The 15,274-nt window shown below is 45.6% G+C and overlaps 1 protein-coding gene across 10 annotated transcripts in view; it reads right to left on the bottom strand.

Annotated features, from left to right (window-relative positions):
- PLXNA4 (plexin A4) overlaps positions 1–15,274 on the bottom strand; it is a 525,349-nt gene that overhangs the window by 247,515 nt on the left and 262,560 nt on the right. For 2 of the 10 annotated variants that reach the window (NM_001105543.2, XM_047421019.1), the window contains one exon: positions 12,638–14,441. The exons of the other annotated variants lie outside the window; for them this stretch is intronic. In NM_001105543.2, coding sequence (NP_001099013.1) covers positions 14,334–14,441 — 108 coding nt within the window. In that variant the 3' untranslated portion in view covers positions 12,638–14,333. Of the gene's footprint in view, positions 1–12,637; positions 14,442–15,274 lie in introns of those variants that run through there. 10 annotated transcript variants of the gene reach the window in all.

Here is a 15,274-nt window from a genome sequence, read left to right on the forward strand (position 1 = left end):
ACGTCCCAGGAGTCGACGACTCACTTTTGCCCTGAGGGTCCCCAGTGAGGATGCACGTATGCCTATGGCAGGCAGGGAGAGCTGATGCCTGGTTGGCATGAGCACCTGAATTAGTGTTGGCCACATATGGATGGCCATGCTGGTGGGCAGAGGCAGAGGTCAGGGGGCACAAGAAGAGTGGAAAGGAGATCCCAGAGAAGAAGCACATGGAGTGGGAAAGGCACGCTTCCAGGTTAGGGCTGGTCTGCAGACACACATGCCCCGTGGTTGGGCTGGGGAGACGGGTTGGGGTGGAGAGGGAAATGGGGGTGGGGAGTAACACGTGCAAAGGTGGAAATCATGAACCAGGTTTTAAGTCCTTTGGCTCCGTGTTATGTATACAGAAGGCACAGAGAAAAGAATATGGGAAGTTAAGACTGGGCTGTTTGGGTGGGCAAGGAAGGAGCTTACCAAAAACTGTCCCAGGAGACCCTCTGAGATGGCCCAAGACCCTCAAAGAAAGTGGCCCACCATCCTCAGCTACCTCTTCTCTAACTTTCGGTATCTTACAGCTATTCCTGTATCTCCCTAATCTCAAATCACTTCTTGTGAGAGTTTCCTGCCAATGATGTCAGTACCGCTTAGATGTAGGAGCATATTTCTGGACACAGTTCCCTGAATAAAGACTTGGGATAGAAAATTAATCCTCCCCCTAGGAGTTCATAAAACTGGGGCACCGAGGGGACTGATGGCTAAAACCAAAGTTGCAGTGAGCCTGGAAGGGAAGCAGCCACTTGGGAGGGAGCCTTAAACTCGAGTGGGGACGGAGACAGTGGCCAAAGATGTTCACAGCCGTCCTTGAAAGGGATGAATTAAAGAGAAGGCATCAAGGACAGTAACTCCTTTATCAAAGCCCATGGCTGGGCCTCTCTGATCAGCCCCTGCCTCCTGACACACAAACACACACACATACACACACTCACACACACAGTCTAGACCACACCTAGCCACTGAAGAGTGCTTTAATCCATGAAAACACACTGAGAAATAACTCTGGGGAAACTTGATTGGGAAGGTAAGCCTGATGTGAAAAACTGCAATCATGCATCCAAAGCCAAAAAGACATGATCTTTTGATTATCTGTGCCACTACTCTGATTAATGATTGTTGGCCATCGCCTCTAGATTGACACCTGCATTATTTTTGTCCCAGCCTGGCTTATCTCCTATCAGTCAACGCATCACCCACACTCCCACCAGCTGTACTCAAGGTGGTCAGGCACATGAGAATGCTTTGGGAAAGATTTACATCACGTGACCTGTCATGTGGCACTACATTAGGGCTGCAGGACCAGCTATTGAGCAAAGGTATCACCCCTTCCAGCAATGAGCTTCAATTTTCCAATCCAAAAGAAGCAGAAACAAATGGCTAAAACCAAGTCAGAGATGATAACCTTGAGTGGCTCTGCTGTTTTGATGTTTACATTTTCCCAGAATAAACTGTATACCATTCAGTATCACCACACAGATCACACACGTGGCGTGGCCTGGGCCCTGTTTACTCAAGCAGTTTCTTCTTCATTGAAGGAGTCCCTCCTGTTCCTTTAGGATTTGTGGATGACAGTCCTCTGAAGGAGGTCAGGTAGATCTATGCAGATCCTTCCTCCCAGTGGCATCAGCTCAGCTACTGCACCACAGCCTTCAGGCAGGAGTGGAAGCCCCCACACCAAGCAACGTGTCCTCTCTATCTTCATTACCTCCAAGGTCTGATGTTACTCACCCTCTCCCACACCTCACACACTGGAAACCAGCATGATGCATTAGAGAGATGAAGCCTTTTAGAATCAAACAAAATAGAACAAAGGTTCAATTCTCCAGCACCTAGTAGTGTCTGACATAAAATAGGTACTGCATAAACATCAATACAAGATATTCTGGCTCTGTCACTCACCAACAGTATAATTTTGTGCAACATCTGGAAGCCTCAACTTTCTCACCTATAAATAAGGAAAGTTGAGAGGCTTAAAGAAGATAATCTTTGTCCGTGGGTTCAGCAGAGGGCCTGGCGTGGAGAGCATGGAAGTGCCTTGAAAATTGGCATTTCTCCAGCATTTATTAACAAAACCATAAAATAATTTAATGCTATGCCAACTATATAATGCCAAACATTTATTACTTACTATGTGCCAGGCACTTTTCTGAGGGCTTACCATCCATTATCCCTTTTAATCTTCAAAATACTATGTCGTTGGTAAATATCATTATTCCCATTTTGCACGGGCACTAATTCCAAGCTTTGAGATGGCCAGGGCATGATGTGGTCAGGCAGTAGAAGTAATGATAAAACCAGTAGAGCAGGCAAGACAAGCCCTGGCTGCCCATGAGTCTCTAGCTGAACTTCATTGCTAAGTTCACCTTTAGCCCCAGCAACCAGGGATGCCAAGTACACCTTTCCCCAGAGGACTCAGTCTTGCAATGTTCTCTCCAAGGTCTGGAGAAGTCAAGAGGAAGGGAAGGAAAGGAAGAGGCTTCCAGGTCTTAGTGCCTCATGCCCTAAGATTCTATGATTGGTGCCAGGCCTCCGTAGCTCTGGATGTGCATAGGTTAGTGAAACCAGCAGAGTGGCAGCTGGAAAGGTTCGATTTTGTGTGTCTGGCCATCAGCTCCTCCTGGACTAAGGGCTGTAGATGTACACATTTTTCTGGCTTGTCTTATTTTCCACTGGAAATCCAGATCCCATCAATGCTCTAAAGCTGGGGAGTCTACTGAAGTTACTATGTTCAAACTTTAAAACAAATACACTTGAAACCCCTGGGCCTTCACTGTGAGGAAACAGCTCTTGGATGGTTTGGCTACTAATTTTTGGCTTTTTAGCAGTGGCTTTAAATAATGAGGTGCCCATGGAAATGCAGGGGTGGAGGAGGAGCAATACAGTGACAACAAAAGAGAGAAATCTGGGAAAATGGGAAACTTTCATGGGAGATAAGAAATCTTACCGCCCTTATTAGGTTTTCTGTTCTATCAGGGAGGTCTCCTGGCTTTAATAAAATCTCATTTTCCCTTTAAACTCTCCCATGTGGTAGGGCCTTGTATTTAATAGGGATATATAAGAGAGGATTCCAACCTGAGGCTCAGGTGGCCGGGGGCTCCCCACACTCCAGTCCAGCAGCTGGGATTGATTGCAGAGCTGCCAGTCCAGCAACACACAAGTTGCTGCACATCAGAGAGTAATCATGAGCCATTTGATGCTGACCTGCACGAAGTGAAGATGGCAGCTTGGCTCCCGTTCATTCCCATTTGGACAGAGAAGCTCATCCTGGTCTTTATTAAAAGTGGACCAAAGGAGTAAGTGATGAGTCACAATATGTGATTGATTAGGGGCATCTGCATTTGAAAGCCTCCGTGGCCTTCATCCATGCCTAACTCCTTAAGGTTCCCATTAGCACTGGGAGATTGTGTTCATTAGGAGCCGCTGATGTTGATAAATTCATCTTTCCTGTCACATGCAATTCTATCCAGGGTCTGGCTCTCAGTTCTGAGGGGCTGATCCACCTTGCCTTAATACCACACGACAGGCTCCTTCACAAAACAAGCAGGGTGTCAAAGGCTAGCTGTTGGGAGATGCCAGGCCTACACCAGCAAAGGCTGGAGGGAAGGAAAGGGTGAGCAGCTGGTAATTAGAAGCTACTGGTGGGTATCAGAACGCATCCATCAGATGTCTGCAGAGAGGAACACACCCAGAGTATCTGTGGGTCCCAGGAGCTGGTGTAGGTTCTGGGCTATTCTTTCACGATTGCCAAAGAGTCACCACTTGTTGAACCCTCGAATGCTAACAACAGTTTCTAGCTCTACCAAACTCCTGTTTTGCCAGCTTTGCCCCCAAGAAAACAGAAAAGTCATGACTAGCAAAATGAATCAGTGTGAGGCACTTGCACCAACAGAGAGCATATAATTTTTATCTAGCAATTTCACTATCAACTCCAACAAATTCACTCTTAAAGCCAGAAAAGCATTCCAGCTTTCTGCAGGGAAAATGTATGTGAGGGGTAAGCCACCCAGAGTCAGTTACAACTACCCTGTCTGCTGTGGGACAAGCTCTCTGTGTGTTCTTTTCAAGGTGTCAGAGAGGTCTGATGGACAATGTGCACAAGTCTGTGTGTGAGAAGACCAAGAAAGGCGAGGCTGTCCCCGCCCTCTGCATTCTCATCCTGGATAACCCAAGCTCATGTTAGTAAGGCCTCTGAGGCTGATGTCCCCATTTCATCTATGTGCCTTTTTCCAAGACAGACACTTTAGCTGGGATTTTGAGTCCTACTAGTAGAGGCTTGGGCAAGGCCAGAGTAGGAAAGAAACCTGGTGGGGCAGAGACTGATCGGGCTTTCCAGGCCCACATGGCCAGTGCTTACACATCTTCCATGTCATCTTGGTCCTTCCCCTTAACTCCATCCCGCCCCCCCCCACGCCCCAGCCCTCAAAACAATTTGGGACAACATCATTAAATTCACACAAACTTCTTCCTTAGGATCCAGAAACCCGGTTGTCCCCCAAGAGGTAGAAAAGGCTCAAGAATAATGCCACATGGACTTGGCTCCCCAGCCCCAGTTCCACTCATCAAAAGCAAATACCATGTGCATGTTCTGTGTGTGGCACTGGAGACCCAAAGACAAACTGTTGATGTTCCTGCCCTAAAGGGTCTCATGCAGCACTCAGTAAGAAAGACAGGCAGTTGATTAAATAACCACAGCACAGTGTGATCCATGCCAACATGGACATGCTAGAGGACCCAGTAGCAGTCCAGGAAAGGGAGTGATTCTGTCTACTTGGGGAAGAGGAGGACAGGAAGGACAGATCAAAAAAGGCTTACTGAAACAGGTGACATCTGATCTGAGAAAGAGCTCCTAGAGCAGTCAAAATGGTGGGGAAGACACTGTAGGCAGAGCTACATGTGTTCAGTCAGCAGGGTGGGAAACAGCATGGCATGTGGGGGAACAAAGCACAAGTGGGGACTGCCAGCATGAAGAACTAAGTGAGGGAGAGCTTATGTGGAATTTAGAAAGGAAAAAGGCAAATAGGAGCCAAGGAGAGCAAGAAGCAATATTTCCTTCCACTCCAGCCAGTCCCTTATGTGAACAGAAAAGAGCAGACAGTAGAGTTTGAGTCCCAACGCCACTGGCATGACCTTAGACCAATGCCTTCACTTCAAGGGTCTCAGCTTCCCCATCTGCAAATTTGGAACAGCCCCACCTGTAGCATCTGCCCCATGGTGTTGTTGTGAGAATCAAATTTTGATAAGGTTCTTGAAGTGTTGCTACTCTGAAGACTGTGGAGAGCTTTGGCGATGTGAAAAGGTCTCATCAATCATCACCAGGGATCCCAGCATTGGCCGAGGGACTGTACCAACTTTGCCGAAAGTCCTTGGAGTTCACATGCTAAGGGGAAAGCCTCTATTGCTCCGCAAGGCAAAGGACCCCCAGCCGAGGATACAGGGAAGGGAAGAAGAAATCCATGTCTCTGCTGCTGCTCCATGGAGGAGCAGGATGCTGGGGTTCCTGTGCCCACTGCATCCCAATTAAGTATCTGTTTCTCCTCATTTACACTTGGCTCAGCTCTCCAAATACCTTCCTTTAAAGGATTGTTTTTTAAAGGCCCTTCAAACTCAGCAACTATAAACACTGATGTTAGGCAAGGCACTTTCAGCAAGAAGCAACCATAAGGAAATAAAATTGCTGCTGTTAAATCTCCACTCCCAGGAAGCGATTTGCTCAGCAATAACCATTTCTCAGGAGCCCTGATCAATCACTGTTTGGGCAGGAGAGAAGGCCTTCCCAGGCCTCCTGATTTCTCCACCCTGCAGTGGAGGCAGCGCCCACCACCTTTAATTTTATCCAGCAGGCCCTGATGGTGGCTTTGGCCTGGATTTGGAACCAGAAGAAATTGTCCCTGTGACTGTCCTAGAACGGACACGGGGCAGCCATCACTCCTGCCTGGCCCCACCTGCACCCAGTCCTCCTTGATCCTCTCTGTCTTCCCAGGTCAACCTTCGGTGCCAGGCAGGGTTAATCCTCTCTCTGCTTTTAGCAGGAGGAGCCAAATCCCACCTATGGCAATGTTTGCTTCTGGAGAAACTTATCTTCCTGCATTGCTCTCTCTTCATCAAACATGAATGCCAGCAAAAACTCCTTTCCCAGGCTCACGAAATGTGTAAAAACAAAGTACAGAAAAAGAAATCCTACACTAGATTCCCCAGATGTTTTCTATGAGGCAATTGGATCTCTCTTTCTCTCTGCTAGAAAAGGCTATTTAGGAAAAGCCAGAGAATACGAGATGCTTATGTTATGAAATATCAGCCCAGCAGCCTTGTTTACTGGGACCCAGTTGGAAAAAACCCAGATTCCCAAGTAAATAACTTCTCTCCTTTTCCTAGCAAAAATTGCTTTAAATGATTTCAATCCTAAAGATAATTTTTTCCAAGCCAAGTGACCTTTGCCTCCTTTTTATAGCCTCCCCTAGAATGGCCTGTACAGAATGTGTTTCCCTGATAAGCCCAGAGCTTTTCCAGACACAGTCTTCTACAAACTCAAATGAAAAAGAAAAAAAAAAAAAAAAGAAAACAAAACAAAACAAAAGGGAGAGCTGGAAGGATCAACTCCTCTGTTCCCCTGTGCAGGTAGGAAAACTGAGGTGCAAGATGTGACATCCTCTCCCATCTCTGTGGCACCCACACATCTGATTGGGCAGCACAGAAGATGGGGTACCACAGCCTCCCCTTCTACAACATCCCTCATGGGTCCACAGGAGCCCCTCTCCCCACCTTGCTGCTTGGAGAGACCATTTGATTTCCTTGTGCCCCTCAGTGGCCACCAGCACCAACTCAGTAGATAGGTTCTGCTGCCTACTTGCAAATCCCTTTGCTCTCCAGAAGATATCTGTGAGCAGGAAGGTATGGCCAGGGGTAACGAGTGAAATGCAGAGACCTGGGGCTGAGGAGAGAAAAGAGCCAGGATGGATGGCAGGGGAGAGTGCTGTTTCTCACAGCACAGCCTGGCACAAAAGAAAAGAACAGAAACACACACCCACGTTCTACTGGAGGCCGCGAGCTGAAACTGTGGTATGGGAGAGGCAATGGATAGGGCTTTCAGGAGCAATCCTCCAACTTCTGCTGACATAGCACTGTTCCCCCAAATATTGGAAGTGAGGGTAGGAAGAGCACCCTAGAAGTTCCATCACCCACCCCACCCAACCATCACACTCTCCTGGTGAAACCATCTATGCTATTCCCCAATTATCTTGTTTCTGTGAGAAACACATATGTTATTCTCAAGAGTCATGACGGTACCTGGAAGGGAGCACTAGCTGTGGCAGCTTGGTGTTTCATGCTGCAGAGGTGATTGTTGCTCTGTGGGCCAGAGGTCTAGTGTTCTCAAGTCGTGGAAATAGTGATTCTTCCCGTTGAAAACTTAACACGTGCTTTAGAGAAAAGAGTAGGAGTATTTAACTCAGAGCTCCAGCTTCTCACCACCCCTGGCACATGGCTGGCACATGGTATGTCCTGGGTGATTATTTCTTGAGTCATTGGTTGATGCCAAAGTTCTCTACTAGGCAACAATCCCTAGAGATTAGAAAGGCCTAAAGCAGGCTGTGTCCTGGGTTGTCACCTCTCCCCTAGCATGTCATAGTTCTGAGGATTGTGCCCATCCCTGAGGTGTTCTTATGAGCTCCTTATTCCCTAAAAACTACCAGACATTCCAAGAAGTTTCATGGATAGCAGGCATGGCAGATGATTAACTTCCTCCTGTCATTTCACCTAGGTCTGTGATCTCTCCTGCGCAAAATGAGGTTCAAAGAAAGAGAATGAGAATGATAATGATTATTGAAAAGTCCCTCCCACCTCTGATATTCTTTGAGCTGCTAAGATTTGAAATTTCACTCAATGGTATCAGGAGGTTCTGCTAGTTGAGATTTAGTCTACTTCAAACCAGTGACAGCCAAGACAATTCTGAAATGGGCACTGGATCTTTTTTTTTTTTTTTTTTTTGAAATGGAGTCTCACTCTTTGTTGCCCAGGCTGGAGTGCAATGGCGCGATCTTGGCTCACTACAACCTCCGCCTCCCAGGCTCAAGCATTCTCCTGCCTCAGCCTCCTGAGTAGCTGGGATTATAGGTGCACACTACCACACCCAGCTAATTTTTATATTTTTTATGGAGATGGGGTTTCACCATGTTGGCCAAACTGGTCTCGAACTCCTGACTTCAGATGATCCGTCCACCTCAGCCTCCCAAAGTGCTGGGATTACAGGCATGAGCAACCGTGCTCGGCCAGATCTTTTATTTATAACAGATGCCATAACATTTCATACAAAATTCCCCATGATTGGAGATATTCAAGTGGAGGCAGGACAAGTGGCTGGGTTGTTGTGTGTGGGCAAGGGTGGCTGTGTACTATGGGAATGGGTACATTAGCATCCAAAGGGTGATTACACCAGGCAGTGTCTCATGTCCCTCCTCATGTGGGAGCCTACCACGCAAGGGAGAACCAGGACTAGGTTGATATGACCTGGCTTTTACAAAACCCCTGGAGGAGGGAAAGAAATGGAGGCAGCATGTCAAAGCCTTGTCTGAGAAGCATTCCTTTCTCCAAAGCATCTGAGGCTCTGCCTTACAGATCCCCATGGACCTTGCATTCCTCCATGGAAGCCTTTGTTCTCTGTATTGTGATCTATTTACAAATACCTTCCTCCTCAGACTGTGGGCTACTTAAGAACAGGGCTGTGCTTCTACTCTTTGATTATAATGTACTCTGAGCAACCAGCATAGTGGCAAGAGCATCATCAACATCAGTCAAATGTTGAAGGAAAGAGTAAAAGAATGAAGAAATAATCTTGTTCAAGGTTGCAAACCACCAGGGAAGAGCCAATCTTAAAACCCAGGATTCCCGAATCTCACACTATAGCTCTTCACAGTCACTCTGCAAATTTCAAAAACAATGAAAGATAACATCCAAACTATTACCCTTTTTGGTGTACACACTGTCTCCAGATTTCAAGGCTTTTGCAGTAGGGACCAGTTATTTAATTATGGTCTGGCCTTTACTAGTCAAAGGTATGTTCTTGGGCTTCATATGTTCTTGGACTTGCCACCACCGTCACCCCTCACTGCCCCTGTACCTCATAATATAACAGTGGCTTAATATAACAGAGGCAGGGCTCACCACATTTTATATCAGTGTTGGCTTATTTATGGCTTGAGAATTGCTTGAGATGCTGAAACTGGCCCCATATGGGATTCCAGGAGTAGCAGCAGCCCCTCCCCTTGGGGCTTCCGGGAACTACAGATAACTTTTTTAATGAATCAAAATACCAAAGAACTAACCCTCCCAACAGTTGTTATCCATTGCTCAACTCCCTGTAGAGAGCAGCCTGTGGAATTTGCAGCATTGTGATCGTGTGCAAAGGGCAGCACCAGGCCCTGGTGGTGATAACAAGGAGGCATATTTACCCAACACTTCTCCCCCAGGGAGACTGTTTTTCCTCCACTGCAATACTGTGGCCCTCTTGGCTCACCCTGCCTGGTCCCTGACATGGCTGTGGAAGCAGATGGATGGAATCAGAGAACCCGCCCAGACAGAAGGACCAAGGCACCGAGGGAGAAGATAATATAATGTGGCCCTTCATCTCCTGGTGTGTTCCTAAAGTATGGATGATTGCCATTCTCAAAGAATTTCATGATCCTGATTTAAAGAAACTTGCCAACATTCCAGGAACCCAGAAAACAGACAGCAGTCCTCCACAGAGAGGCAGAAAAAGAGACAGGACGATTTAAAGTATCAGGAGCAGGGCCTCACGGGAGTGAGTTCAGATTGTGCATGGCAAAGTCAAAACAGATGATGCTTTAGAGCAGTAGTTTCCAAACCCTATCACCCAAAGAACTTGCTAAAGCACCGATTGCTGGTCCCCAAAACAGAGCACCTGCCTCAGTAACTCTGGGTCTATGTCTATCAAATTCTCAGGTGATACTGGTCCAAGAGCCACGCCTTAGGGGGAAATGGCATTAATGCCAACTCCAGTAAATTAGGCAGGATACCAGGAAGAACTTCCCACTGCCAAGGTTAAACATGAGAATAAGATCAGGTTACTAAGGACAGTTGTGGAAATCTCCTGAGCTAGAGACTCACGTTTCTGAAACGGATCTGAATCTGTTCTGCTTAGCTACAAGGTAATTTTATCTACCATGGACTATAATCAGTTTCAATACAAGATTATGGAGTATCTCCAGGATTCCAAGCACTCTGCTGGGCACTGTTACTGGCAACAGGTAGCACTTGCAAATTGAGGACTGGTTGGTTTGGTTGTATCCTTGTTATAGATGGGGAAACTGAGGCTCAGAGATTCCTGCAAGGTCTCACAGCTGGCGTGAGGCAGAGACAGGACTCAAACTCACATCTGCAATCTGATCTTGTCCCTTCTAGATATGAGGTAGGGAGCAGAGGTGCATAGAACAATATTTTCCTAAATTGTACACTTGAGACAGTGTCCTACAAGATATAAGATAAAAAAGAAGTGATTCAAAATGTCAAATGGCCAAATAAGTTTGAAGAAAACAAATGCAACTGAAGAATCTGCTAGACTTCTCAGGTATTTTAATATACTTAAGTGTGTAGTGCATCTCTAAGAGGAGGCTATGTAGTATTTCTTAAATTTGACCAGATAATCTTTTATTTAAAAACATCTATTTAAATTTCAAGTGACATTCCAGTTGCAAGGAACACAGTCTGGAAACATCTGGCATGGATATTAATAAGGCAAAGAATTTACACCCCTAGCCCGTGTTCTACTTCACATACACTCACACATTTGGGATGAATGCGGAGTGAATATCAGGTGTGATTCAAATCAGATTGGAAAAGAGGATTTTCCAAGATTCTGCAGCCTTTGCCCAGGGCTGAGGCTTTAATGGAGAGCGCCAGGAGCCCCGAGCAGGGTCCAGACAAAGCCAGGTGCCACAGGGCTTGGTGGGCATCCCCTGCAGCCCACAATCCCTCCAGGGCAGGAGCCAGAGGCGTCTGGTCGTCATCTGTGCACCCCCGCAGGCTTCCTGATGTGAGAGACGATTCCCACCAGAACTGTTAGTCATTCCAGTTTCTCTCAATCAATTATTCACACTCCTGTTTGCTTGCTTTGAGAGAGAGGAGGGGGGAAAACACAGAAAAAGCCACAGGGCATGATAAAATACAAGGGAGAGGGGAGAAAAGAAAGCTGGGGACTTTTCTGGGCTGAGTATAGGGTAGACCACTAGATGTGCTTTCTAATAGGTCACCTGCATTTGTCCTCTTGGACAAAGCACACAGGCTGAGGAGGTCTCCTTCTTTCCCTGAAGCCCAGAGAAGAGGAAGCAGGAAGAGGGTTAAGAGCACAGCCAATTGCAGGAGTCAGAAAGACGCATTCCAGGCTCCAGCATGAGCCCTTCATGGTTGTTTGCCTTGCCTGCTTGGATAATATTTGACCAGCTGAGGGGTGCAGTGTAGACACAAAAATCACAGCCCCTGCTGCTGCTGCCTTCAGGCTGTCATGCAGCCTACTGAAGTCTCAGTTTCTGCCATGGTAAAATGAGGATGGCTGTTCAAGCTCGCCCGGAGGGATTCAAGTGAGATCCAAATATGAGGTCCCCGTGGCAGGGACCTCAAACCTCCACCAGCCTTTCACCCTAAGCATGCACAGTCAATTTTAGTGAAAGGATCAAGATTTTTAAATTGTCATGTGTAGTATTTTGCAAATGGCTGCTACATCATCAGCTCGTTAATAACAGAGAGTACTGGCACTGGCATGGTCTGCAATAATTGTTATCGCTATCAAAATGATCAGCAATGATACGCTGCCCTTTGTATTCAAAGACAATGCTACTAACACAGTATAACAAGTGCTTATTTTGCATTGCACAATTATATATTGTCTGAGCTACCAATATATTTGAGAGAGTATTTGCAGTATGTGTATGTGAGTGCATATATATGTGTGGGTGTGCATGTGTATATTTATATATACATATATAAACACACACAAGTATATGCATACACAAATGTAGTTATATATTATGTTCATGAACTTTTTTGCGTGTCTATGTCTTAGTGTCTTATCCTTATATAGGAATACAAGTTCTTATGGGCAACGATTTTCCTTTGTACTTCTTCTGTATCATCTTTAGTTCAAAGCAGGGTGCATCCTTTGTAGGAAACCCTTAATACATTCCTGTTGGCAGTCAGGTTTATCCCAGCAGTGGGGAAAGGCTCATATTGATCCCTCCATCCATGCTCCCTCTCTCTGAAGCCCACTCATGGCATGTGTTGTGAGATGGCCAAGCCACCAAGCAAACCATACAGCCCACTTGAAAAAAGACCCCCTCGAGAAAAGACCCCCTCACTGCTGAGTTAATTAGCTGGCTGGCTGCACACACCAGGATTGGACATGGATATTTCAAAGCATCTTCACCCTCAGACTTAAATGCTACCTAAAGCATTCCCTGGGATTCTATTTTTCAAAATTTATTTTTTCCAAAGTAAAAGTAATAAATGCTCATTAAAGAAAATTAAGAAAAAATGTAAATAAATAGAAAACAATAAATAAACCACACCTCATCCCATTTTCCAAGCACAACTACTGTTAGCATTTTGATGGTTCTCTTTCCAGTTTTTATTTTATTCATTGTATCATGCTTTCTAATTGTCTCATGCTTTTTCACTGAATGTTATCACACAAGAATCAGTTACAAGATTGGCCTTTATAAACTAAGTTTTCAATGACTACATAAATATACCAAATCTACCTAACCATTCTCCTATAAATGAGTGTATATATCAATTCCAATTTTTGATAGACTAAATAAATGCTGAAATGTGTATCTTGGTGATTATTACCCTTGAAACAAATTAGAATTGATTCTTTAAAAAATTGTCACCAGTTCAAAGGATTTGACTATTTTCAAGTTTCTTCCTAAATATTTACACATTGTTTTGCAGGAGTGTTGGACCAGTTAGAATTCCCAACAGCCATGCTTCAATGCACACAGAGCCAGTTTCACATGGAACTCCTGGGACGTATTTCTGAACAACTGTTTATAATGCTTTTCAACTCTTTCAAAGTCCTTGCTTTACCCATCCCTATGCAGGTGCACATGGCCTGTTACAAACCTCTGCCTCCAGAATATGGACAGTGAGACACAGAGGGGTTGCCTGCTCTCACTAAATCTCCAGCTTTGGGACTCACTTTCAGTGCAAGCACACAGATGAAGGTTCTCAAGAGCCCTCCTGATTCATTCCCTCCCACAGGCCAGGAACCTGTGGCACACCCTAAAGAGAATTACACTGTTGTGTATCCTCCAGGAACTATACGAGGTTTAGTGTGGTGGTTCTTAGCAACAGAACAAATCTACAGCACTTTCACTTGTTTTCAAGTAACCAGATTAGCACCAGTCGCTAATTTTACATCTTGCCTTCATACACTCTTGACTACACTTTATTTCCCAGTAAGCTAGTAGAAATGATAGGAGCACATGACACCAAGTGTTTCCACTTCCTTCGCCACTCACCTCCTCCTCCCCACCGGCTCTATGGGGGAATTATGGAATTGTGCTGGATAGTGGCCATGCAGGAGACACTGCTCACGCTTTGTTGTAACCATAGTCTTAAGGAAAGGAGACTGGACAACACCAATTAACTTTTTTTGGGTGCTCTCCTGGACCAGATGCCAACAGAGCTTTTGCACATATGATCAGCTCATCAGGCACTGTTGGCTTCCTTTTCTCTTTCCCGCAGAGGCTGGGATGGTTCTGAGCACTGAGTTAATTACATGATGCTGCAGTACGGTGGGCTCCATCCTCTCTGCCCTGTGTATGCACACACACCTTTAAACACAGATAAGCATACACACACACACACACACACACACACACACACACACACACACACACTGGCCAGGCGACTTGGCTGCAGAAGTGGACAGATGAGCATAAGGTTATCCTACCATATATCAGGCCCAAGAGATAACTATATTCCGATGGGAGAATCAGTTAGTTTCACTGACATATACAAGTGATAACACCACAAGAGTCAAACATGCCTACACTCCATTGTCCAAAATTACCCATGGGACGCTTGGGGCAGAGAAAAGAGACCAACTACCTAGCCAAGCTAAGCAGAGACACATTCTCCAAAGTCTTTTTTCCCTAAGGACTTGGGGTGGCAGGACATGAGCTATGATGTATGGCTGGGGTCACAGGGAGGTAGATGTGTCTCATCTGTTTCCATTTTCCAATATCCAAGGCTGACAACACACTAAATAAGCCTACACAGCTCTGAAGTTTTTCTCAGTTTGATGAACAGCTGGAGAACAGGAGTTCCAGAGTCACTGTTGCTCTGTGGGATCGGGGTCCCGTCTGTAGCTCAAGGGTAGGGCAGAGGCTGGTACCAGGCATCTGGAAAAGATGAAACCTTAGCAGACTTAGACCATGGTGCACAAGATATGCCCATAAGCCTCCTTATTCCCCTCCTCCTTTCTGTTTACAGTAAATATGTATTACAGTTCTGAAATACAGTAAATATGTATTACAAAATGTATTAAGAGCCTCAATATCTATGGAGCAGAACTAACAAGGCCACAGTTGAAGTCCAAATCCTGGGTCAACCAAACAACTTTACTTTTGTTCCCTGGCCACGGATGTTACACCCGGCCCCAGGCACCTGACTCAGCAAGCTGTATGATGGCACGTGTCTTAGACAGCAAGGGGAATGATCAGGACAGGATGCCTCACCTATGTCCCTGAAAGAACAACCTCAAAGCCCCATCTTACCAAGTATCACTTTTTATCCAAAGGTGAGCATGCAAGTGCATGCGCGCACACACACGCGTGCGCATGCACACATGGATGCACACACACACACACATTCTCAGTGACAAGTCCTCCTGTGGCCAACCTTGCCCCTCACTAATAATTTGCACAAATTAAAAGATAAAGCAGCTTAGGGTCATTCAATAAATCATAAGCACAAATCAAAATCTATCCACTCAATTAAATCTGAACCTAGCTGGAATCACATCGTTTTTGAACGCTGAAGTGGCTAATTTCCGAAGGATGTAAGAAGATCATTCAACACATGGTTATTCAATATCAGCCCCTTTTCTCTGTGATTTTTAAACTTAATTAGCATTTAGTAAAGATGGCATGATGTTCCATAGAGCAGCGATCTTTGAGGGATTACCTCCAGCTCAGAAGGGGGGAATATAAAACCAATCAGTCCATTGATAGAG

This window comes from Homo sapiens, chromosome 7, assembly GCF_000001405.40.
Source record: "Homo sapiens chromosome 7, GRCh38.p14 Primary Assembly".
Taxonomy (NCBI): domain Eukaryota; kingdom Metazoa; phylum Chordata; class Mammalia; order Primates; family Hominidae; genus Homo; species Homo sapiens.